General features: G+C 41.1%; 1 protein-coding gene and 1 long non-coding RNA gene across 7 annotated transcripts in view, besides 2 other annotated features; one reads left to right on the top strand and one right to left on the bottom strand.

Moving 5' to 3' along the window:
- Nucleotides 1–26588, top strand: part of SV2C (synaptic vesicle glycoprotein 2C) — a 506476-nt gene that overhangs the window by 438217 nt on the left and 41671 nt on the right. For 4 of the 6 annotated variants that reach the window (XM_011543282.4, NM_001297716.2, NM_014979.4 and 1 more), the window contains exons 6-12: nucleotides 101–190; nucleotides 5541–5651; nucleotides 6088–6176; nucleotides 10098–10262; nucleotides 13114–13247; nucleotides 15049–15252; nucleotides 15706–15865. In XM_011543282.4, the coding sequence (XP_011541584.2) occupies nucleotides 101–190; nucleotides 5541–5651; nucleotides 6088–6176; nucleotides 10098–10262; nucleotides 13114–13247; nucleotides 15049–15252; nucleotides 15706–15865 (953 nt within the window). Of the gene's footprint in view, nucleotides 1–100; nucleotides 191–4860; nucleotides 5014–5355; nucleotides 5448–5540; nucleotides 5652–6087; nucleotides 6946–10097; nucleotides 10263–13113; nucleotides 13248–15048; nucleotides 15253–15705; nucleotides 15866–26588 lie in introns of those variants that run through there. The other 2 variants (XM_017009244.3, XM_047416961.1) reach the window with 2 other exon arrangements.
- On the bottom strand, nucleotides 9300–25949 carry SV2C-AS2 (SV2C antisense RNA 2). The gene is made up of 4 exons (XR_001742750.2): nucleotides 25504–25949; nucleotides 12423–12505; nucleotides 10080–10164; nucleotides 9300–9424 (listed from the first exon to the last, which is right to left on the bottom strand). It is a non-coding gene; the product is annotated as an SV2C antisense RNA 2 (long non-coding RNA).
- Nucleotides 9335–10534: an enhancer, noted in NCBI's record as "BRD4-independent group 4 enhancer chr5:75590840-75592039 (GRCh37/hg19 assembly coordinates)". NCBI's record gives its function as "activates an origin of replication core promoter dependent on BRD2, P300/CBP, MED14 and CDK7 cofactors, and independent of BRD4, by STARR-seq in HCT116 cells {active_cell/tissue: HCT116}" and the evidence as "EXISTENCE:reporter gene assay evidence [ECO:0000049][PMID:35650434]".
- Nucleotides 10514–11396: an enhancer, noted in NCBI's record as "NANOG hESC enhancer chr5:75592019-75592901 (GRCh37/hg19 assembly coordinates)". NCBI's record gives its function as "activates a minimal SCP1, AML or CMV promoter by ChIP-STARR-seq in primed H9 embryonic stem cells {active_cell/tissue: H9 hESC(primed)}" and the evidence as "EXISTENCE:reporter gene assay evidence [ECO:0000049][PMID:30033119]".

The following is a 26588-nucleotide window of genomic DNA, read 5'->3' on the forward strand; positions in this document are numbered from 1 at the left end:
TTACACCTCATTTGATCTGACAATGCAAGACGGCTATTGGAAAATCAGGGAGGGTAAGTGTGTCACTCCTAGCGCTTCACTGTCCACTCTCATTTCTTAGGTTGGAAAACATGATGAAGCTTGGATGATTCTGAAGTTAATTCATGACACCAACATGAGAGCCCGGGGTCAGCCTGAGAAGGTCTTCACGGTGAGTCTTCTCCCCAGAGAATCCTCAACACCAGGGATTGGGACATGTTTTCTGTCAAGGGAAAAATTGTAAATATTTTAGACTTTGCAAGTCATACGGTCTTTGACACAGCTACTCAGCTCTGCCATTGTAGTGCAAAAGCAGCCATAGGCAATGTTAAAATAAATGGGATGACTGTGTGTCAATAAAACTTTATTTACAGAGACAGGCAGAGGGCTGTTTTTGGCCCATAGGTTGCCAACCTTGCTTATGCCTATCTAGGACTCGAGGGCTCTGTGGTTGGTTAAATGATAACACCAACCCAAGAGATGGGGTTAAGGTGGAAAGACTGCATTTTCATCACAGACTTACTTACTCTCTGACTCCCAGGTTCAGTACCCGAGGACAAGAGATTCTTGGTGTAGGGACTGCCAGCTGATTCTCCTTGACCTGCTACCAGAAGAGAGCCAGGCTGTGCAGGGCCATTTCCTCCACTCGGCCAGGTCATACCTTTTCAAGTGACACTCAGCCCCCACAAAGGTGTATACTCATAGCAGCCCCATAACATTTTCTCTAAGATGTCAGAGAGACATCTTAGAGAGGTATGCCTCTGTTAGGACCACCATGAGGCCTTTAACAGACCTTGGAATACATAGTAAATGGTAAAATTATTTATTGAAAACAAAAAAAAACCAGTATCTAATAAGTGAGAAAACAATTATACTAAGGATCAAAGCAATGTAACAACATAAAACTAATCTCTGGGTTTCCTGATGTATTAGTCCATTTTCATGCTGCTAATAAAGACATACCCAAGACTGGGCAATTTATAAAGGAAAAAGGTTTAATTGACTCACAGTTCAGCATGGCTGGAGAGGACTCAGGAAACTTCTGATCATGGCAGAAGGGGAAGCAAACACGTCCTTCTTCACATGGCGGCAACAAGGAGAAATGCTGAGCAAAAGGGAGAAAATCCCCTTGTAAAACCATCAGATACCGTCAGAACTCACTGACTGTCATGAGAACAGCAGCATAGGGGTAACTGTCCCCATGATTCAATTACCTCCCACTGGGTCCCTCCCACAACACGTGGGGATTATGGGAACTACAATTCGAGATGAGATCTGGGTGGGGACACGGCCAAACCATATCACCTGACAACCAAAGCAAAGGATAAATTTAATGAATTATATCATTATTGATATAAAGCAATGTGTTCGCTTTTCAGGAAATGCTTTTCAGGTAGTGTATTCACTTTTCAGGAAAGGCCAATTTTATCTTGTTCTAATTTGTGAAAAGTTTATTCATAGGCCTTATTATAAGGGATATTGAACAATATAATGGACATTATTTTCAGTAACACTTTTACATAAAGGCAGACATTTCACACATGGCCATTTCTTAGGTTAATAATTAATCAGAATTTGGTAAAGGAAAGTAGCTATATAGGAAACCAGAGAAAGGTAATCCAAGAATGTGGCTTCAACTTGATATAGCTTGACATGAACATAAGGTATAAAAGAATCATAGATATAGTTCCAAAAATATATATTTCATTTTATTATACATGCAGGCACATGGGCACACACATACATAACACATACCCCAGTTTCACATTCTAGCAGCTTCCCATTGCTCTCAGGATAAAGACAGAAACCCTCCCTCCGGACACTAAGGTCCTGCCAGTCTCCTTCCTGCCTGCTTTATAGTTCCCCTCTCTCTGCAGCTACATTCATCCCTCAGCTCCTCACACTCAACATTTGACTTACTATACAGCACTACCACAGTGCTGCTGTTCCCTCTGCATGGAACATTCCTCCATCTCTAGTTACAAAGCTGATTCTCCATGGGGAAAGCCAGTATAAATTAATTTAAATTGGTTGCAGGAAATGTTTCGGAAGGAACAATTGTTTAAAATCTTTCAATATACGCAGTCATATAATTAGACTAAAAATGGCCAGGCGTGGTGACTCACACCCATAATCCCAGCACTTTGGGAGGCTGAGGTGGGCGGATTACAAGGTCAGGAGATCGAGACCATCCTGGCCAACAAGGTGAAACCCCATCTCTGCTAAAAACACAAAAATCAGCTGGGTGTGATGGCACCTGCCTGTAATCCCAGCTACTCGGGAAGCTGAGGCAGGAGAATGGCTTGAGCCCAGGAGGCGGAGATTGCAGTGAGCCAAGATCGTGCCTCTGCACTCTAGCCTGGCAACAGAGCACGACTCCATCTCAAAAAAAAAAAAAAAAAAATAGACTAAAAATGTTTTGTCTACAGTAGGTTGGAGGGACATATGGTAAGACATAAGTGGGAACCTAAATAAGATCTTCAGTGGCTTATACCTAACAAACATCAATTACAGTTCTTAAAACACATGAAATCACTTCTGATTAAATAGTCCCCTGCTATCTCATTTATTAATTTCATTTTATTTAGGAAATGAATTTTTCATACTGTAAAGATAAACTGCAATTTGGCCTCTATCCAAATTATCACAGATTCTTAATTAGCAAAATTTTCTCTGCAGTATAATGGAGAAATGAAGATAAGTAATGGATATCCTCAATTAAGGCCTGGAAGCTTTTGAGGACTCTCTTCTTTTGAGTAGATATACAATAGAGGGGAAAAATTTTAATTTAAAGGATCATAAGGCTGGAAGAATCTTGAGACATTATCTGGATATACAACATCACTTAACTCTTCTCAGCCAGATGAAGAAAAACCCTTTATTTACCAGACCTTCTGAGAAGGTGTCTCTATAGGGCCTCATTGCCCTACTTACCTGCCTTTTCTTCCAAAAGGGTTGAGTTACCAAGTCCACTAATGGCGATGTGTTAATGTTGTTACATGAAGGTTAGAGGAGAATAAGATGGATATACTCCAAAAGTGATTGATAATTTCAAAGTCATTTATATGTGACTTTCAAAAAGTTGTTACATGATTCTGCCATAACAAATTTATCTTTTTATTTTTTAAATCCACGGTACAGCAAAGTTGCATGCATTTTCCTAAGGTCTCCTTTTCTTTTTTTTTTTTCCTTATTTTTTGAGACAGGGTCTCGTTCTGTTGCCCAGGCTGGAGTGCAGTGGTGTGATCACAGCTCACTGCAGCTTCAACCTCCCTGGCTCAGGTGATCCTCCTGCCTCAGCCTTCCTACTAACTGGGAATACAGGCATGTGCCACCATATCTGGCTGATTTTTGAATTATTTGTAGATAATTAACAACAGGTCTCCTTATGTTGTCCAGGCTGGTCTCAAACTCCTAGGCTCAAGTGATCCTTCTGCCTCAGCCTCGCAAAGGGCTGGAATTGCAGATGTGAGTCACCATGCCTGGCCCTCTTAAGGTGTCCTCTGAAGCTCTTCTTAGTGTGCCCTTACCTTAAATATTGTTTTCGAAGACTTCATTTTCAGCTAACTTCCACTTTAACCCTATTCACTCTCCTTAGCTGATCTCAGCTATTTCCTGCATGTATCCTAATGCACAAATCTCCTGAGCTCCACACATGCAGGTTGAAGGACTTTGTGGGCATCCTTCTAGATCACATAGGCCCTTCAAAAATGGCATCTTTGGGCAGTGAGGGGTGGGGAAAGATGGCATCTTTAAATCTGAATTTATCACCTAAGCAGTCTCCAAGCCTCATCATTGCCCTAAATTTCATCAGTAGGTACCACAAGCACCACCTAAACCCAAAAACTATATTCTTTCTTTTATCTTTGGTACATCTAAGAAACCATTATGTTCTATTATTCCACCTCCTAAATATCACTCCACTGCTGCTGATTTGGTGCAGTCCTCCTTATTCACTGCCCTCTGGCCTTCTACTATCCTTCAGGAATCGCGAACTCTTTGCAGTTTCCCGGTGCACTATTTTCCCTCCTAACTCTGGACATTTGTTTGCACATGGTATTTCTCCCACTTGGAATATCCTCCAAGCAGGTTACATCCATGGCAGATAGCGTATTTCTCTATAAGCCTGCAGTTCCTGAAGCCTCTCTCTCACTTCCAGGTTAAGTAGGTTGTTCTGAACAGTATTTCCTTCCCATCTTTTATAGATCCCCATTAGAGTACTTTTTTTCGTTTTGTATGGTAATTGTTTGGAGCCACATGGCTGCCTATGTTTGCATCCCGCATGGGTGCCAATGAATAAATGAACAAACAAATATCGATGAGTGAAAAAGCGGAAGCCTCCCAAAAGTAGTATGTTGGATTAAGACTATCCCATGATGTAAAAAGAAAAGAAAAAAAAACTTTTTAAATCTAGAGTTTTAAAAAACATAATTCCTACATGGATTATTTTGAGCCGATTGCATTTGATTTGGAATTCCATATTTAACTCAGAGATTATTTTTGCTAAGTACAGACATCTTTGTTTACCTGGCCAGAAAGAACCTACTGCCTACTTGGTATAATTTGAAAGGTGCTGAGGGTCCCCAAGCCACCTCTATCCAAAACTGGCCTAGGTACCTGTACTCTGCCAATAGAGTTACCCCTTTAAATGTTGGCAGGATGTCCGGAAAAACCTGTTCAAACCTCTGGCAGGGGTAATGTGTACACATTTCCATGTCCTCTCAGATTTATCAAAAACAGGTAAATCTTGATTAGCAGGAGAAGGCGGGTCAGGCCCACAAAGGACCCATTCTTCATTTTTTTCTATTTTCAGGATTCATTCTCTGTGCTTCTCCTATCTTGTGGTTCTCTTCCTTAGCAAAAAGAGGCTAACTGAGTCATAGATGCTGCTTTTCATGCTGAACCTCTATCATTTATTTCCCTTATATGGCTGAGAAATTCATGTTGATGCTTGCAGTCAAAAATCCTTCACTTAATCTTGAATCATGGCTACCTGTGGGTATTTGCTGACTAGCCACTGTGGGTTAGGCTGTGGGAGAAGGAAGAAAAGGACCGGAAGTGGTGCTCTGAGAATAGTGATGGGAATGCTTTCAGAACTATAGTTAGGGGTCAAATTCATCAAATAAGTAGGTTTCAAAGAAAAAAATGTGTAGACTCACTTTAGCCCAAGCTAAATAATTCTTAATCCAGAATCTAACTTATCTGGATGTTTTGTCTGCTAATGTGTGTCTCTGTAGTAATGGTTCAGGGAGGGCATTTTGGTTTCACATTATTCTATTACTACTTGCCCTTCCCCCATTTCTTTGTGGTTTTCCCTCTCACTCATTCCTTCTTCAGTTCTTCCAGGTGCTGTTTGGATCCATATACTTATGGCAGTGGTCTCATATATGTATGAACTGATTACCAAATACCGCCTACTTCTTGCCGGAGTCAGTTTTTGCTCCTGTAAAAACAAATTATAACCCTACACTCAGCAACTTCAGAGAAGGTAACTTAGCGCTTTGGTCTGTTTCTCTCTACAGGTAAACAAAATAAAAACTCCTAAACAAATAGATGAGCTGATTGAAATTGAGAGTGACACAGGAACATGGTATAGGAGGTGTTTTGTTCGGATCCGCACCGAGCTGTACGGAGTAAGTAACAAGTCCCATGATGACCTGCATGTTAATTTATTGCATTTGAGGTTAGTCAGAAGAGGGGTTTACTGGGCCTGCCCTATGAGCGAGGTTCTTTCCTGCTGCCCAGGACACCTGACTCCTGGACTAGAGCCAGGTAATTGGATCCCACTCGACCAGCATTTAGCCAATACATTCCATCTGTGGGAAGGGAAAGTGTTAGGCCAGGAGTCTTGGCAGTGGCAGGGTGCCTTCAAATCTTGAGTTACCTTGTCCATTGACATCCAGGAAGCTGAAGAATGAAAATTCCAATTACCTTTAACTTTTACATTTTAAGGTGAAATGAATCCAACCCAATGACAACTCAGCATTTTTTATAATTTGGTGGAAGGGGTCGGGGAGTGGGGTTGACTAAGTAACTGCATGAGAAAACTAACTCTCTAATATTTCACAGATTTGGTTGACTTTTATGAGATGTTTCAACTACCCAGTCAGGGATAATACAATAAAGCTTACAATTGTTTGGTTCACCCTGTCCTTTGGGTAAGTGATATTTAAATTCTTGGCAAGCAAAATCGTTCAATGTCCACATTGTAACTCCTAGCCATGCTGCTTTCTTTTCTGATACTGCTTGATGCTGTTAACCTGCTAAGGAAGAAATTTTTTTCAGCTTAGGTTTGCTGAGAGTTATGGTTTTTATAAACCAGTTATTTTATTTGTTTTGTCATAAAGCTAAGGTAGCAAAACCAATTGTATCTGCAAAATCCAGTAAGGCCCTGGATGATTTGCCCCATGACTTCTCTGTCCTGTCCTCCTTTGCCCAGCCCCAGCCATACCAGCCTCTCTGCTCTTCTTTGAACATTCTAGAACAGTTCCCATCTCGGGCCTTTGCGGTGTTCCTCTGCCTGAGTTGCTTTCCCCTCCAGACATCTGCCCAGTTCATTTCTTTACCCTCTTCAACTCTTTCCTCAGATGTCACCTTCTCAGTGATGTCATCCTCTCTTTTTAAAAAATTGCAGCCCCTCCACACTCCCTATCCCCTTCTCAGCTCTACTTTACCCCACAGCACTTTCTACCTTCTAATATGCAAAACACTCCTTTATTCTGTATAAAGAGTAAAGCTCTGGCTTCCCTCTCTGGAAGCTCCATGAGGACAGGGGTTTTTAACTGCCTTGTTCAAAGCTGAGTGTGGTGCCATCCACCTATATTCCAAGCTATTCTGGAAGCTGAGGTGAAGGATTGCTTGAGCCCAGGAGTTGGAAGCTTAAGAGTGTTATAATCACACCTGTTACTAGCCACTGCCCTCCAGCCTGGGCAACATATCAAGACCCCATTTCTAAAAAAATAATAATAATTTTGTTTATGTCTTGTTCACTGATGTATATTCCTGGCATGTAATAGCAGCTCAATAAATAGTTGTTGCCAAATGAATTAAACTGCCATATATGTGTTCCAGGAAAAGAGGAAATAGGGAGAAAATAACAAGATTTTATTTGTTAATCGCTGACATAGTCACTTTAGAATGTGTGTGTACAACTCTATTGTTGCCTAATTTGCTGTTTAGAAAAGAAAAATTAGATAATACTCTACACTTTCAGGTCAGCAGGAACTCAGTACCTTATAGAACCTAACATTTATGTTGCAAGTTTCATCTCTTAACATCCCTAAATCAAACCAGGCAAGTGATCTAAGGTGACCACTCTTTCTTAGTGCCTGAGGAGGTGGAATACGGAGAAAGAAGGAAGCTGGGAGTCAGGAGACCTAGCAGCCCATTCTGCTGGGTGACTTGGTTAGCTTGTGACTTGGAGACATTTCTCAGTTCCTCATTTCTAAATTAAGAGGGTTGACTTAGAATATGTAAAGTAATTCCCACCCAAGCTCTAGAAAATCCATTAATCTCTGAAGGAAGGGAAGGCTAAATATTAACCTATATTAAGTGCTTACTCTGTACCTAAGCAAGGGGTTAAAGACAAAGAAGACAAAGATAAGCAAGAAGGAAGTCCTGCTGTCAAGGTGTAAAGAGTAATCATCATTATCTGGCTTGTTTATTTTGTTTACTAATTCATTATTGATCATATTTTAAGCTTTATGATTTGTTTTACTGCTATATCCCTGGAACCTCAATAGTGCCTAGTATTTAGTGCGTGTTCGGTAAATGTTTGCTAAATAAATGACAAATTAGCCAAAAGCCCTCCACATCATTGATGATGGATGGACATTCCAAGGTAATGTGCCCTCCTCATTGTTGCCATTTCAAGGTTTGTGCCCCATGTATGTGACTAGAGAACAATGCCATAAATGTTGTACCCCTAAGTCATTTCTTCCTCAATAACTACCCTCACACCCCCACAGACATTACTATGAAGAAAAGGGGTGGGAATCCTGAGGCACAGATGTTTTTGGAATCCTAATGACAATGATGATAAAAACGACTCATACTGTCTTCTGAGCACTTTCTATGTGCTAGGTACTTGACATCCCATTTAAACTGAGCAACCACCCAGGAAGGTGGATATTCCCATCATTCCAATAGTAGAGATGGGCAACTGAGGCTTAGATAACTGGCCCAAGTTTAGGCAGCTAGTAAGCGACAAGACCAGGATTCAAACCCAGCCTGTCCTCCTGCAAAGGCTATGCCCATACTCTCTTCTTTCCCTGTGTAGCTAAGTGTCACTGGGAATAAACTAGAGCAGTGGTTCTCAAACTTGAACGTGCATCAGAAGAATCCCTGGAGGACTCCCCTGCCAAAGTTTTTAATTCATCAGGTCTCACTGGAACCTGGGTTTGTGGGGGATGATGATCCTGCTGGTCCGGGGACCTTATCTTATCTTAGGAGGTACTACTTTAGAGCAGCACAGTCTAATAGAGGTATCGTGTGAACCACAGATGTCATTTCAGATTTTCTGGTAGCCATACACACACACACAAAGTAAAAGGAAATAGATAAAATTAATTTTAATACTACATTTTGTTTCATTCATTCTCTCTCTCTTTTTTTTTTTTTTTTTTGATGGAGTCTCGCTCTTTTGCCAGGCTGGAGTGCATTGGCACGATATCGGCTCGCTGCAACCTCCGACTCCCTGGTTCAAGCTATTCTTCTGCCTCAGTTTCCTGAGTAGCTGGGACTACAGGCGTGCACCACCATGCCCGGCTAATTTTTGTATTTTTAGTAGAGGTAGGGTTTCACCATGTTGACCAGGCTGGTCTCGATCTCCTGACCTTGTGATCTGCCTGCCTCGGCCTCCCAAAGTGTTGGGATTATAGGCGTGAGCCACTGTCATTTCAACATATGATCAGTATAAAAATTATTAGCAACAATTTTTACCTTCTTTTTTTCCGTAAGTCTTCAAAATCCTGTGGTATTTTATATTTATAGTATATCTCAGTTTGAACCAGCCACATCTCAACTGCCTGGTAGGCACACGTGGTTAGTGGCTTCTGTACTGAACAGTACAGCAGCATGACACAGCTGTTAGAATAACACATTAGAGGTCAAGAGGCAGAAAGGGGAAATAACTTGGAATCTCTGAGAATAACACGAATGTCCTCTTCCCAGCCTCTAACTACCTTGGGAACTGGCATTCTACCCCCAGGATAGCAGTATCACAGCAGTGTAGGAACCAAGAAAGATTCCCCATTAGCAAAAGAGGTCATTCTTTAGGGGCTCTCACCGTGCTTGGATCCCAGGAGTTTGTACCACCAGACTAGGAGAGAGAGTTTCTCAGAGCAGACTGGAATGATGAGAAAGATATTGGGGCCAGGATGTCAGATGTCTTACTCCATTTCTGCTGCTATAACAAAATACCACAACAGGTAATTTGTAAATAATAGGAATTTTATTTTTCACAGTCCTGAAGACTGGAAGTCCAAGCTCAAGCTGCTGGCAGATTCAGTGTGCAGTAATGGCACAGTCTCTGCTTCCAAGATGGCAGCTTGTCGCTGAGTCCTCCAGAGGGGACAAATACTGTGTCCTCAGTGGTAGAAGGGATGGAAGGGAAAAAGTGAGAGAGGCAGCACCCTCGCACCTCTTTTTATAAGGACATTAATCTCATTCATGAGGTCTCTGCCCTCATAACTTAATCACCTCCTAAAGCCCCCACCTCTAATATTATTATACTGGGGTTTAAGTTCCAACACATAAGTTTTGGAAGGACACATTCAGACCAGGCACCATGTATGGGCATAGGATCGGATGCTTTCTGCATGTCTCTTCCCAAAGGAAGGGTTTAGGAATTACATACCTGGGGTTCTCCAGCTAACCATAGGCCATCTCTCAAGCTTGATTTTTGCAGATTAATGCTGGGGGAGAGGGACACATGGATTGCTGTATGATGAATTACTCATAATGTTATAGGGAGCCAGCCATTCTCCGGGAACTATTACCAGTCTGAAAACATCAGGGAGTTGCTCATTGCCTCTGGCATGCTAGTGCCTTTACAAACTCACATTTCTTTGTCTTTGCAGGTACTATGGATTATCCGTTTGGTTCCCTGATGTCATTAAACCTCTGCAGTCCGATGAATATGCATTGCTAACCAGAAATGTGGAGAGAGATAAATATGCAAATTTCACTATTAACTTTACAATGGAAAATCAGATTCATACTGGAATGGAATACGACAATGGCAGGTCTAGAAACTTGAAATAATTTAATTTGCTACCTATTCACAAAAACTTATTTCTTCTTAGCTTTCCCTGCACTGAAACAGGCATAGTTTTTTGTTTGTTTGTTTTAGTTTGTACATTTAGTCATTTTCATGATGAATTTCAATACTTCTTAATAGGCTTTAAATAAAAGGTACAAATGTATCCATTACTTCACTTAAAACTATTTTTGCAGCTAAGTTGCTTCATATTTATTAGGTAGTGGACTTGACTGGTGTGGAAGGAAAATTTAGAGCAATGTTGGAGAGCAACAAAAATAATGGAAGGAAGAGAAGAGTGAAGAGTATGGGAAAATAAGACAGGCTATAGGATTATTTAATTCACAGAAGAAATCTGAAATGTGATTATATGAGTCTTCTATTCCTGAGAAACAGAGCCACTTTTCAGAATTCATCCTTCCCAATACGCTGAATCCAGAATTGAGGTTAAATTGCATCAGGAAGAGTTTCAATTAGAGAACAGGAATCATTCCCCAAAGTAAAGGGCTTTGAAAGACGGAAGGGTCTCCTTTATGGGATCTGAAATACTTCTTGATGACAAGAGAGAACTGACTCAGGGAGGTGGTCCTGGGTCATTCTTTTAGAGATGGAAAAGAGTAGACCAAGTACTTGTTTATATCCAAGTATTTTTGTTGCCTGAACAAATAATTGCCAGTGTAAGTTCATGATAGTTTACATCATTCTTAGGAAGTTGTCCCAATTTCAAAAGTGATAAAATAAAACTCTAAAATAATCAAAGTTCCCCAGGGCAAAAACCAGTTCAGAAAGATGAAAAAGAATTCAGTGGGATGCTTATGATCTATGTAATGGAAAAGAGGGTTACTAACTAGGAGGTAATTGTTCAAATTAGCAATTCAATGAAGGAACTAATCATCATCCAAGCCAAGTGGGATCACCTTCACTCTCCCACATAAAATACTGACTTGAATCTGCACTTAGCATTTCACAGAAAGCTTAGTGTCAAGTCCTCTGTGATGCCAGGGTGAAAACTGACTTTCAAAAGTATTGTTACTCCATTAGAAATTTCTAATATATGTTTGTGTCTCTGACAGTCATATTTTTAGTAATATATGTTAAAGTTCTAAACTGGATACTCAGTCACTGCTTAGAACTTTTTTACATTAGCAATATAATGATTACTAATTTTAATAGTATTACAGTTTTTGTAAAACATATGTTACACATTTATTTTAAAAGATGATAGAAACAATTTTTTTGTCCTTCAGGAAAATTTGAAATACCATTAACGAAATTTTTTAAAAAATAGCTTTTTTATTCAGCATCATAAAATGGCAACTCTTTATATACTGATACGGAATAACCTCCAAGGTAGACTAGAAGGAGATAAAGCAGGTGTACTTTAGACACAGAATGCTCCTGGAGGAGCACACAAGAAACTGACAACAATGGTTATTCTGGGCAGAGGAACTTGTGGCCTGGGGATGGATGGGAAAAGACTGACTTTTTCCATTTTCAACCTTTCGAATTGTGCACCATGTGTACTCTCTGAATTATCCATTCAAAAAATAAAACTGATTCATTCCCTTTTCCAAATTCAGTTCCATGACAGAAAAAATTGATAACTTTTTAAAGATGTGCCATTATTTAGTCTCTTTTGGTGCATTTAGATGTTTTTACTCTGGGTCCCTGGAGTGGGGATTGAAACGAGATCATTATTATTATTTCCAGGTAATGTACCATGGGAATGATTTCTTTTTTAAGCTGATTGGTCTGTGAGGCCATGTGCATTTTGAACCAACACACGTAATTGGGTATTAGGGAGAGAATAAATTTGAAAGTACTCAATAGTTAGTAAACTGCTTTTAAATCAACCTACTTACCTAGAAGGATCAGTCCCTTTCTGCCCCTAATAAGAGTGGTATTGACATAACAACTCCTTCCCGAGGAGAACAAGCATTTTCCTCTCAGTGACTGGCTAAGTGTACATTCATAGTCTCTTAATAAAGTACCAGGACACGTTAATGAATATTTATCTGTGTCTGCTGGGAGTCCTTATCAATGCTGATAAGGCCTGGATCATGGACTCTTCTAAGATGTTATTATCATTATGACTGTTACCATTTTTACCACGTAGAATTCCCCCTTATAATACCCAAAAATATACCTGAACAGGTTTCATCATTCTTCATGTTTCCAAAAATAAGCAGAGTTCTCATAATTCCTTTTGGTTCAAGGACTATCTGTTGGCTGTGAGAAGAAAAATTATCCTGGAAATGAGCGTCACCTATGAGTTTCTTCAACCCCAAGTCAGTTATTCCTCACATAAATGAAACAGAATTCTCATGCTCTCTCTTCAGGATAATTACAGGTCCCTACACTAGAATGAAGAAGACTTGGATTTTCAGCTAGGGAAAAATAAAGTTATTAAAAGATCGGGTAGGAGGACATCCTTAAGTTAGAGCCATTAACCCCAAATAGAGAATATTCAAATAAAGATATACATGAAGAGACGATAGGATTAAAACCTAAAGAATAGCCCCAGGTAATCCCCAAACTATCTTCAGTTGCATACCCCACAAAACTTTTTACCAACATTACAAAAAGCTAAGGGAAGTTAGGAGTGTCATCTCTTTTCCTGGTGAAAAATAATATTGGTAAGCAATAAGATAGCCAAAGGTCAGCCTGGATGAGAAAAAGGGGAAAAAGCAGAGAGCTAAGAAAATCAAGAACTCTGTGTTCTTTATAATTAAGACAGTCCATAGTGGGGCATTCCATCTCTAAAACTATTTGACTTAGCTTTGAACTTTGATGGACACAGTCATTGATTGATATGAATTTTTCTGTGTGTTGGGCAGATTCATAGGGGTCAAGTTCAAATCTGTAACTTTCAAAGACTCTGTTTTTAAGTCCTGCACCTTTGAGGATGTAACTTCAGTGAACACCTACTTCAAGAACTGCACATTTATTGACACTGTTTTTGACAACACAGGTAGGTGTGCTACTTAGTACTGCCTCTACCTGAGGCCTCTCCAAAGGGCCCACTGTGATAACCATGTGATAATGTGGGCAGAGGCTTATGCGGGAAGTGGATATTAAAGAATAAATGGAACAAGTTCTCTAAATCAGGTTGGATCAAAGGTTGGCTTGTATTGTTTGTCTTTGTCAGATTTAGTGCAAATGGAGCTTGCCAAAGTTCAAAAGTTGGCAACAACAACAACAAAAAAATCCTTTGATGAATAAATTTTTAAAGCAAAGACCTAACCTGTAGTTTATTTGTTTTGATAATCCTGGGTTCAAAATCTGGTGTTTGTTTAAATGCCTCAACTCTATAGCCAACAGAGATAGACAACATGTGGCTATGCTCAGATACATATATATTTTGGCCAAATCCATATAATGGGGTATTTTAAACTCCCCAGGGGGAAAAAAAAGGAAGGCAAACAAGCATTGATTGAACACCTATATACTGTTTTCTACTCTAGGTCATTAGACATTCATTATCTCATTTAGTTTTCACAGTAGCTGAGGCTTAGGAAAGTTAAGTAATTTGTCCACAATTATAGAACTAGTAATAACAGATGTTTGAACCCAGATTTATTTGATTTCAAAGCCTGTGCCTTCCACTTTCCCACTCCCAAACATTGGTCTGTGTGTCCTATAAAATGAATCCAGCATAACAGCGTGGCATTGGCAGGAGCATCAGCATTTGCCCTGTTGCCAGACCTGCCTTCTTAGTGCTCAGACAAGGGCTCTGCCTAGCTCCAAAGAAGAATGAGGTCAGGTGTCTTTCTGTTTTTTGTTTTTTGAGCAATGCTATCTACCTGTCTTCTAACCCATTAAACCTCAGAAGACGAACATTTTGTCAGATCTTGATCAGCAAGGAAGATAGTTTCAATTCTCACAGCCTTTTAGCAGAAACCACCACCATCTGCAACTCTTCTTGGATGGTTTCAAATTCAAGAAAAGATTAGCAATGAATGCTGGTGACCTTCAGATGAGGCTGACTCTTGTTCCTCAGTAGATTCATGCACATAGACTTTAAATTATAAATTCAGCCTCAGGAAAGACTTGTTCCTTCTCTGTGCCCTCTAGTCTCATAAAATGGCAATGATAAGGCTGACTCTTGCACTTTTTTTTCCTTAGAGACAGGGTCTTGCTCTGTCATCCAGGCTGGAGTACAGTGGCGCAATCACAGCTCACTGCGGCCTCAAATAAAAAATTATTATTATTATTATTATTATTATTATTATTATTTTTGTAGAGATGGTGTCTCACTATGTTGTCCAAGCTAGTCTTGAACTCCTGGCTCAAGCAATCCTCCTGCCTCATCCTCCCAAAGCACTGGGATTACAGGCATGAGGCACCACACCCAGCCCATGCACATTTTGAAACAAATTGTTTTTATAATTGTAGTATGGACACTATTAGTACTATAATGATAGTCTTTATGTAACATGATAATTAGGACATAGTAATATTGTAAAGGAGTAAGCAAGTAATATAATTAGCAATGGCCGACCATAGGAAATCAGAAGATAACTGGACCCCTTAATTTAATGTATTCCTTTATTCAGCAAAGGTATCTCATCATTCACCTACTTTATGATGTGAAGACCCAGACTAGATCCTATGCTTTGGCCAGAAGACCCAAAAAGTCAAGCTAGCATAGGCCTGAAAGCCCTCAAGGAATTTACAATACTGGTTTCCTCTCCGAATCCTCCATAGGCTTTCTTATACTGGTGCATGCCTGGTAAGAGCTTGATGAATTGTCTTTGTTGTTGTTTCTACAGATTTTGAGCCATATAAATTCATTGACAGTGAATTTAAAAACTGCTCGTTTTTTCACAACAAGACGGGATGTCAGATTACCTTTGATGATGACTATAGTGCCTACTGGATTTATTTTGTCAACTTTCTGGGGACATTGGCAGTATTGCCAGGGAACATTGTGTCTGCTCTGCTGATGGACAGAATTGGGCGCTTAACAATGCTAGGTATGTACTCAGTTTCATGTCAAATAAAAGAGCTGCCCCTGCAATCCAGAGGGACCCTGTTTCCCCCTGTACTCCCATCTATTAGGGATTTGCATCCAATAAGGAGAAATCCTTTAGACCTTACGTTGGGACTAAATTATAGTGAAAATTATGTCTAATTACATTTCATTTGAGTGGTTTCCATGAGTTAACAGACTGAAAAACTATGTGTAAAATGTATATTTTCCCACTCAAGTAGCTGAGTAAAAGATGATATGCATTTCATACTTTCTGTGTTCAGAGGCAGTTAGAGCCTTTCATTCAGGTGAATGCACCAGTTCTTGAGCTTTATGGAGCCCATCCTGCAGCTTCCACTTAGAATTCAGTTTTCTTGAGCAATCCCAAGGACCCAAGGGTTCTTGCTTTACTAAGATGACAGGAAACATTCCAGCCTTTTGTCTGCATTGTTGGCAGGTGGCTCTATGGTGCTTTCGGGGATCAGCTGTTTCTTCCTTTGGTTCGGCACCAGTGAATCCATGATGATAGGCATGCTGTGTCTGTACAATGGATTGACCATCTCAGCCTGGAACTCTCTTGACGTGGTCACTGTGGAACTGTACCCCACAGACCGGAGGTATGTTGAAATGGGCCTCTAGTAAGAGGCACTCTAAGCCCTGTGAGACCACTGAAAAATTATTTTAAAACAACCCAAACTGGCTGGGCACGGTAGCTTATGCCTGTAATCCCAGTACTTTGGAAGGCCAAGGTGGGTGGATCACCTGTGGTCAGGAGTTCGAGACCAGCCTGGCCAATATGGTGAAACCTCGTCTCTACTTAAAATACAAAAATTAGCCGGGTGTGGTGCCAGGTGCCTGTAATCCCAGTTACTCAGGAGGCTGAGGCAGGAGAATCACTTGAACCCAGGAGGCAGAGGTTGTGGTGAGCCAAGATCACACCACTGCACTCCAGCCTGGGCAACAGAGTGAGACACCATCTCAAAAAAAAAAAAAAAAAAAAAAGCCAAACTGTCACTTCCCCAGGAAAGTAAAAATCCAAAAATATCTGGCTTCACAAAGTTGTAGGTTCCACTCATATCTTTTAAAAAGAAAATATAGGGGAACATATGTGCTAGAAGGAATTAATAGGGCAATGAAGCCAGTGAAGGAATTTAAGTGTGTCCTTAACTTAGTTTGTAGGCTAACAATATGAGGAAGCTGTAATGAAGCAGTGAGGATTAGAGTTTAATAGCCTATCTTAGCCCACATTTTAAGTGGCTAACCAGTCCTTAGAGGGTCGTTTCCTTAGGTTTGCAGATGTGTCTGCATGAGCTCTGCATTAAGCAACCACAAAGAGGTATCTAGAACATATCTCTTGACCTTCCTGGTTTGTTGGAGGAAAGCCAAACACATTTCTAGTTATAAAAAACAATTGTGCTGGGCCTAGTGGGACATGCCTGTAATCCCAGCAATTTGGGAGGCCGAGGCGGGCAGATCACCTGAGGTCAGGAGTTTGAGACCAGCCTGGCCAACATGGTGAAACCCCGTCTCTACTAAAAATACAAAAAAAAACCTAGCCAGGCATGGCGGCGGGTGCCTGTAATCCCAGCTACTCAGGAGGCTAAGGCACGAGAATGGCTTGAACCTGGGAGGCGGAGGTTGCAGTTAGCCAAGATCATGCCACTGCACTCCAGTCTGGACAACAAGAGTGAGACTCCATCTCAAAAAAAAAAAAAAAAAAAAAAAATTGCTCCCAATATGGAAACACAGAGACTCATATCAGAGAAAGGGCTAGGGCTTTTGGGTATAGCTTCAGCAGCTTGAATAGCTAAATTAAAATAAAAGAAGCTCTGCTTTACCATTTGATATGAGCTAAGACAAATGGACTTTGCCTTCATGTACCACTCCTGTGCTATGTTGCCATAGAAGTCCTCTGTGCCAGAGGGTGGAGTCAGTATTATCTGGACTTTGAAATGTAGGAGAGTTTTTTCCTAGAACTATGCCAAAACATTTGGGATATCAATTTGCAACTGATCTTGAGTGCTTCCTCTGGGCTCATTCCCTTTTTTTATTGACCCCAAAGAGGTGTATTCTGTGTGTGTCCTGTCCTGTCTCTAACTTATATTTCTTCTTCAACAACATCTATTACTGAGCTTGCAGAACCCTGTAGGTACCCCTCCATCCATCTCCCTGCAGAACATCTAACACTCAACCCTGGATGTCTGCTTATCAAATATTCTAGTTCAGACCCTCAGTGACCCACCTATTAAATATTTAGGCTCTGAAAGGAACCATACAATCTTTGTACGGCATCTCCTTCATTCATTCAACAAATGTTAATTCTCTGTCTTTGTGAACGAGGTCCTGCCAGAGTTGGTGCGGCCAAAAGCAAGATTAAGACTCTGCAGCTTCATTGAGCTTTCTTTCATCAACCTCTCATTCTGCAAACAGAGCTTAGATGTGGATTACACTATACGTTTAAAATGAACCCCTCAATTGCTTGAGCCCATTGTGCCACTGCACTCCAGCCTGAGCAGCAGAGAGAACCTGTCTCAAAAAATAAATAATAAAATAAAATAACCTCCTCAATGTTAAAGCAAGGCTAGGTCATAGCCTCCTTCCTTTTTCTTGTATACTATAAGAGTGTGATACTGTTTTAGGAGAATCAGCTGCTTATCCCTCTGCCATAAGGAATAGAAGGATGAGTATTCACCTAGGACAAAAATCTGGCTTAAAAAAAAAAGACCCTCATAAATTGAAATTGGTCAGGTCCTTCCTGTGAGAAGTACAGACCTACGGTGTTTCTGTTGTCAGAAAGGTTAAATATCAATTGAAATAAAAACAAATGTTGCTTATTTGTATTAATTCAGGTCCTCCATGAAGCAGATGTCAGGATGGGATTAAACATGCAAAAATGTTATTAGAGGAAATGACTGTGAGAGAAGATGGAGAGGGAGTGAAGTATGGGAGAGCTGCAATGCAACTCTAAGCCTGAGCGAAGGAGGGAGGAAGGAGTATTTGGGTGGAATCTCCCAGACTATCCAGTAATCTAAGGAAGGTTTGGCAAGGCTGTTGGAGACCCAGGGATCATGACAACATCAGCCTCAGAGGAGTCCTGTGTGACTCAGGAAGCAGCCTGCAGTAATAGTCCTGTCAGGTCCAGTCATTGTCTGGGAGCAGCATGTGGGAAAACACCTCTGTGCACACCAGCACGATAACACAAAGGTCTGCCAGGTGCATTCTCACCGCGGTCACGCTGTTGCTGGCAGACGCTCTCCAGCACTTAAGTAGATGTCATCAGATAATCACAGGAAGTCATTTCCTTTGGTGATCTAGAAGATGACTTGTGCTCCAGAGCAGCGTGACCATGGCCATGGTAAATTCGCTAGTATGAGCTAATTAGTGAGTATCTGAAAATATTTCAGGCTAAAACCTCTTCCACCATTTCCATGTTTCTCTGGGTTGCATTAGGAGGTCTCCACTGATCTCTAACTCAGCTATTAGAGGAAAATCCCAACCAGTTGAGACACTCTATAGCTTCATCTCCCCATGGAGGCAGGATAGAATACAAGAATACAGGAATAGAACACAAAAATTCTGGCTAGAGGCTTTACTTCATTCTCTTGTGTTGCTCTAACAAAGTACCTGAGACTAAGTAATTTATAAAGAAGAGAAATTCATTTTCTCACAGTTCTGGAGGCTGGCAAGTTCAAGATCAAGGCAGGTTTGGTGTCTTGGGTGAGAGCTACTGTCTGCTTCCAGATGTTGCTGAGTCCTTCAGAGGAGACGAACACTGTGTCCTCACATGGTGGAAGGCAGAAGGGCAGGAAGGGCCAAACACTGTGTGAAGCCTCTTTTATGAGGGCCTTAATCCCATTCACCAGGGAGAAGCCCTCATGACCTAATCATCTCCTAAAGGCCCCCCTCTCTTAATACTGGGATTTGTATTGGTTTGTTCTTGCATTCCTATAAAGAAATACCTGAGACTGGGTAATTTATAAGAAAAGAGGTTTAATTGGCTCATGGTTCTGCAGACTATACAGGAAGCATAGGAAGCATAGTGGCATCTGCTTCTGGGGAGGCCTCAGGAAGCTTCCAATCATGGCAGAAGGTAAAGGGGGAGCAGGCACATCACATGTAAAGAGCAGGAGCAAGAGAGCTCAAGGGGAGGTGCCACACACTTTCAAACAACCATAGCTCACAGGAACTCACTCACCATTGCGAGGACAGTACCAAGGGCACAGTGCTAAACCATTCATGAGAAATCTGCCCCCATAATTCAATCATCTCCCACCAGGCCCCATCTCTGACACTGGGGATTACATTCTAACATGAGATTTGGGTGGGGCACACATCCAATCTCTATTAGGATTACATTTGCATTTACTGTGAAAACACTAATGAGGACGTTGTTCATTATAGGACACATCTTCTTCTACTCAGAGTCTACCATGAAGACTGAACATCTCAGGGGTGGGTTCTAGGAATCATTTTGTATTCCTCCACCCATGCTTTGAGAAGCTGTTATGTGTCCTCACTTCATATGATAAAAATTGTGTAATTCTTCACATTTCCTTCTCTGTTGTGCAATCAGGAAGCAGAGAGCCTGTGTCTCTGCTAAATCTGCATAGTCCAGATACTTGTTTCACTCTTCCTTATCTTGATTTGCCCCCTCTTATGCCCATTTTATTAATTTTGTGTCTTTTATAAGTTATCCTACCTAGATCGTTTGATAAAGAGGCAGGAAATTTTGGAATTAAATCTAGATGTACTTACTGAATAGCACTTTTCTGTGCCAAAAAAAATGAAACAACCATTTTTCCATTCTGTAAATGCCATCAACATCCTCCTTTCTTCAAAACCTCAGTATCAAAAATGAGCATAACAATTGCAGTCTTAAACAGATGCATGGTGACATTCTAGCTTTTTCCCCAGATTAGAGAGCACTTACACACTGACTGGGACATGATGATTTAAGGGACACAAAAAGAGGTGGGAGGGGACTGAACATTCCAACCCTCTGGACATATGGTTGGTTTTTCTGGAGACCAGCCCAATCCAGAAGCTATCTAGGATCCCCTCAGCCAAGAGTCATCTCATTAGCCTACAAAAGACACTCTTTTGGTGGAGCAGGGGGAAGGATGGGGTCTCCCTCTGTTGCCCAGAGCTACAATCTGTAACCAGAGCTGGAATGCAGTGATTCAATCATAGCTCACTACAGCCTCAAACTCCTGCGCTCAAGTGATCCTCCCCCATCAGCTTACAAAGTAGCTGGAACTACAGATGTGTATCACCATGCCAGGCTAATTTATTTTATTTTTTTTTATTTTAAGAGATGGGGTCTCACTGTGTTGCCCAGGCTGGTCTCAAACTCCTGGCCTCAAGCAATTCTTCTGCCCCAGCCTCTGAAGTAGCTGGTATTATAGGTATGACCCATTGTGCCAGGCTCCAAAAGATACTCTTATCCAAGGGTTTTAGGAGCTCAATGCCGGGAACTGGGGATGAAGACCAAATACTTATTCTTTACTTATACCTTATATTTAAGGCTGGAGATTATTACTAAAGTGCAATTTATTATCCAGAGGATTTAGCTATGCAAAAGGTGGGAAACTGTACCCCTGGACAGCAAATCAAAAACAAATCTACATTCCCTAAAACCTTAGCTGCTAGTTATAAGCATGACCTCAAAACCAGAAACCATCAGGGAGAAGGTTAAAAGAATTCTCTGGGTAAAACAAAATGTGAATTCCACACAGCAAAAAATACCATAGGCACATATAAATGATAAATTGAGGGCAGGAGGGGGTTGAAACAGAAATGAATTAATAACCTGAATATATAAATTGGAAATTCATAAAGAAATGTCAACAAACACTTAGCATATAAAAATGCTCAGCTTCACTAATAGTAAAAATTAATTACAAATTAAAGCAATTATGACATTTAGCTTTCTCCTATTATTCAGAGAAGACAATATTTAAAAGATAGATAAGATCCAGTGTTCTCTGGGGCAAGTGAGGGGTTACTGCTGAGTCTGTTGTGGGAATTCTGAAAACAGATACCACATTTGTAGAGGGGGATGATCTACAGTCTTAAGTATTTTTTCCCAATAGGAATAAACTATTGATTCCTCTGGTTGCTTTTCAGGTTTTTTCTTTGCCTGCCATGGATTTCTTTGGGTTTACTATGTTTGGGGTTTGCTCAGCTTCTTGAATCTGTAGGTTTACAGCTTTTGCCAAATTTATGAGGTTTTCAGCCATTATTTATTTTGTCAAAAAACAAAATTACAACAAATTTAGTGTAAAGAGCTAGTTGACTTTTATCTGCTATTCTAGAAGCAGGCAACACCTCACTCTATAAAATGGGGTGAGTGCTCTAATGAGCTGAGCAGAGAAAGTTGGCTTCATAGGCAGAAAAGCTCTAAAGAGAGCAGATACAGAGAACAAAAAGCAGATAGCCCTTTCAAAGTCCCTTTCTGTAAAGGGCTAAAACAGAGGGGACTTCCTTATTATGCTCATTTGGGTTGGCCGGAATCACCTGTTTTTTGGAAAACTGGCTCTTTTCAAAGTTCAATTTGATTAGGTGGCACTTAGCCTGAGTGACTCCATTCTGCTTAGGACTGGTCTGCTGTGGCCTAGGTGCAGGAGACTAGCCCAAAACAATGGCCTCCCGTAAAATTTAACTATTTGAATACTTTTTCAGTGCTGCCCTTTTTCTCTTCTGCCTGAACTCCAGCAACATAAATATTAGATCTTTTGTTATAGTTCCGCAGGTCCCTGATTTAGTTTGTTTTCTCTGTTCTTCACTTTAGATAGTTTCCATTGTTCTGTCTTCCAGTTCACTGGTTCTTTCCTCTGTCTCCTCCATTCTGCTGTTGAGCCCAACCACTAAGCTTTTTATTTTGGTTATCATATTTTTCAGTTCTAAAATTTTCATTTAGTTCTTCTTTATTTCTTCTACTTCTTTGCTAGGGCTTTCTATTTTTTCCATTTTTGCCGTGATGCTTTCTAAATTTCATGTGTTTCAAGTGTGTTCATAGTTGCTCATTGAAGCCTTATTATGGCTGCTTTAAAATATTCATCAGATAATTCTAACATCTCTGTCATATCAGTGTTGCCATCTATTGATTGTCTTTTTTCATTCTGTTTGAAATCTTCCTGTTTATTTGTATGACAAACAGTTTCTGATTGGAAGCAGTCATTTACATATTATGTTATGAGAATTTGGATCTTATTTAAGCCTTTTGCTTGAATTGGCTTTCTGTGACTCCTCTCTGGCAAGCGAAAGGGAGGCATTGCCTTATTATTACCAGGTGGACGTAGAAGTCCAGGTACTCCACTTAAGCTCCAGTGACACCCAAGAGTGGGCATTCTCATTACTGCTGGGAGTCCACACTCCCTTCCTGATCATGGATACCATGGGAGGGAGGGAAGGAGGAGCTCATTACCACCCAGCAGGGATGAAAGTCCCAGCTCCTTACTTACCCTTCTCTGATGGCATCCCAATGGTAGTGTTGACAGGTCTTCTTAGTTTCACAAGGGTGGAAGTCTAGGCTACCACCAGACCTTTGCTGATGTAGCTGGCAGTTGAGCTACAATTTTTTCCTGGTGTTTGGTCTGAGGAGAGAGGTTATTATCTAAAAGTTTTCTATCTTGCTAGACTGCCGTTTTCCTGGTCCTTGGGCTAGAGAGAGCAGGCTTTGGTTGTGGCTTTTCTTTTTCTGTGCCTATTGGCATTTCTGGGTTGGCAACTTGTTCGATTCCAAGTCTGAGATCTATGGAGCAGAAGGCAAACGCAGGGAACTCCCCATCCCCAAGCTCCCTAGCAGTTCTGCCTTTTTCCTCTTTCAGTCTTGTTCTGTTTGTTTTATATATAATGTGCAGGATATTTTGTTGTACTTATCAAGAAGAATAAGAAAAGTATATCTATTCCATCTCGGTGTGAATTTTAATACTGTTTGTTTATTTACTCAACAACTATTTTTTTGAGCACCTATGATACAACCGTGAGTAAATCAGTTGTGGTCTTTATTCTCATAAGCACAAGCAAACTTCAGTTGTAATATAGTGGTCAGGGTTATTACATGGGAAGTGCATGATGCTCAGAGCATCAGAGAGGTTTTCTTGAAAGAAGTTCCATTTAATTGAGATCTAGTAGGTGATAACCAGTCAAAAAGATGGAAAGAACATTTCAGTTAGAGCAAATACCAGCTAACAAGCTCTGGAAGTAAAAGAGTTACTCAAAGAACAAGTCATGAAGACTCTTTCACATTGCCTTATTGTGTGGGGACGGGGAGACTTTGAGCTGTCTTACAGAGAATGACAAGATCATTCTTGGCCTTTAGAGAGCTCCCTCTAATGGCCAGAAAGAAGGCAGGGAGGCTGGTTAAGACACTTAAGTTGTAGGTTGGAGGCCGGGCACGGTGGCTCACGTCTGTAATCCCAGCACTTTGGGAGGCCAAGGCAGGCGGATTACGAGGTCAGGAGATCGAGACCATCCTGGCTAACAAGGTGAAACCCCGTCTCTACTAAAAATACAAAAAATTAGCCAGGCATCGTGGCTGGCGCCTGTAGTCCCAGCCACTCGGGAGGCTGAGGCAGGAGAATGGCGTGAACCCGGGAGGCGGAGCTTGCAGTGAGCCGAGATCGCACCACTGTGCTCCAGCCTGGGCGACAGAGCGAAACTCCATCTCAAAAAAAAAAAAAAAAAAAAAAAAAACAGAAAGAAAGAAAGAAAAATGTAGGTTGGAAAGGGGAAAAGTCAACACTCAACATGTTCACAGATATTTAGGGATACATTCAACAAAGCTTGGTGCTTGATTAGATGTTAGGGGGAAGAAAAGAGGTTGTCAAAGAAAGATGATTCCAGTTTCTGCGTGTACAGTTGAGTGAATGGAGATGGCAGGTTTTGTTTATGTTTTTTAATTTTAAAAACCACCTGCAGGAGCACAATGGCATTTTGAGGCTGGGACACAGGAGGGACAGTGGGTCTGGGCTGTGGTCAAGAAGGTAATAAGTTCCATTTTGGACATGTTGAGTTTTTACATCAACCTGGGGCTGTCCGATTGGCATTTGAATATTTTTGTTTGGATGCCAGAAAGATACCTGAGCTGGGGATAGAGAGGTCATTCACTATTTCATTCAAAAAAAAAAAATGATTATGGAATGCATATCCTGTGCCAGGAACTATTTTAGTCATTGGGAGACAGCAGTGAACAAAACAGACAGAAAGCTTTGCCTTGATAGAGCTTATATTCTATAATAGTTTGAGGAAGACAGTCCAACAAACAGATAAGTAAAGTAGATGTAGTATATTGGATGGTGCTAAGTGCTGTAGAGAAAAATAAAGCTACGTGGAGCATAGAGAATGCTGGGGTAAGGAGAGTTACAACTGTAAATAGAATGGTCTAGGGGGATGTGACTGTAAAGCTGACATTTGAGCAAAGACCCAGGCAGACATCTGGAGAGAGTGTATTCACAGCAGAGGCAACAGCAGGTGCAAAGGTCCTGAGGTGGGAGTGTGAGAGACCAGTTGGAAGAGAGGCAAAGCTTGTCTGGCTGGAGCAGAATGACCAAGGTAGAGGGTAAGAAGCCATGGGGTCAGAGTGGACAATAAAAGGGCTTTGGTCTTCTTGCTGAGTAAAATGAAATCCAATGTGGGGTTTGGGGGCAGATGAGTGACATGAACTGACTTATGAAGTCCACAGCAAGAAATGTGGCAAGAGGTAATGGTGCCAATGGAGGTGGTGAGAAAGTGGTTAGATTCTGAAAATATGTCTAAGAGAGAGACCTGGAATAGTTCAAGTCAAAGGAAACAGAAAACAAAGGCCTCCATAGAAATAACATGTCTGAGAGGCAAGAGTTGGAGTCTGGGGGTAAATCCATCAACGTAAGAAAATCCAGAGGTAACACAGATCTGGACTAAGAAATAACAGACACCAGAGTTAGGATACCAGGCCAGGAGACAAGAGTTCAGTGAGCTAGAAACTCAGGCTGGCAGAGTGGAATACAAAAAAACTAGCCTGGAAGCAAGTGGTCAAAGTATTAAGATGTCTTGATCTTCAAAAATGGTGTATGACATTGAGAGAAGGCTTTGCAAGTTAGACTTCCCTATAACCTCTGTGCTTAGGTCAGTAGGGCAGTAGTAGTTTGCAGCTGGTTCTCAATGACATTCATTGGACTGACTTGCCCAGGGCTAGAACTCACCTCAGGTAGAGGCAAGATATCAGAACTGTCTGCAGTGGAAGTTGAAGGCACCTCTCTGCTCATGCACTCACCTTGGTCAGTCACCTCTATCTTGATCCTAAACCTTCTTCCCAACTCTGTAGTAATAGCCTGAGATTCTTGCCAAGGCCAGCTTCCCAGTGCTGTGGTACGTCTGCCACAATGATTGAGATGCAGTGGTCGATGCAGTGCCCTTCTCCCCAAGGCTCTTAATTCTTAGGCGTAGACTTGAAGAAGCCAGGAATACTTGTACTTCTGCAGGGATGAGTGAGGTGAAGCGGGAAGACGGAAAAGCAAATGTTGCATTCAGGAATTTGTCCTTGATTGTGAGGCTGGAAAGACAAGATTGCTTTGAGAAGCATTATGAGGAAAGAAATGAAGAGCAGGGCAAAATGATAGACCTTTGAAGTTTGAGCCATTATTGAATATACAAGTCATTGTATAGTCTTTTAACAGTTTCTACATCAGCCCCTCACCTGTGTCAAAGATAAGCAGAGAGCCTATTATATGTAATGTAGATCACAAACAATTGATGTGGCATGAGATTCTTCTAATAGACATGAAATATGAATGTGACATGAGCCAGACATAGAATGGATTTTCCAGCTTGCCGTAAATCTGAAAGGAGCCCCAACCATCTAACATACTGGTGTGGGGGAGCTTCCTTTTCCCTCATTTCTCCGTCCCCAGTCCCTGCCACCAGCAAAATTACTTTCAACCCTCTTTGCGGTAGAACTGAGAACACCAACAGAAGATGCATTTCATTTTTTGGGTTTAGTCTGTGCTGGTCAGCTTCCCTCAATACCCTAACTGGGAAAAATAAGTCAATTTTCCCTCATCTCTTGAAGTCTTCAAAATGAAAGTATATGTAATGACAGGTTGAAATGGATTTTTTCCATCCATCAGGGTCCCTACTTTTCTCTCCCTGCTTTGTGAAAGTTGTAAATCTCTCAAAAGTCATAAATGTAGCTCCCGCGGTGTAGGCCTGTTCCAGCTCATTCCAGTTCTAGGTTTTGGCCTTTATGTTTCTCTGCGTCCAGGTGTTAACTTTCTGCTGCCACTATGTGGCTGTGGCCAAGTCCCCTGCTCACATTTCCTGTGTGCTTATGGCTCAGGGGCCACTTTTTTTTTTTGGGGG

This window comes from Homo sapiens, chromosome 5 (assembly GCF_000001405.40).
Source record: "Homo sapiens chromosome 5, GRCh38.p14 Primary Assembly".
In the NCBI taxonomy this organism is placed as follows: Eukaryota; Metazoa; Chordata; class Mammalia; order Primates; family Hominidae; genus Homo; species Homo sapiens.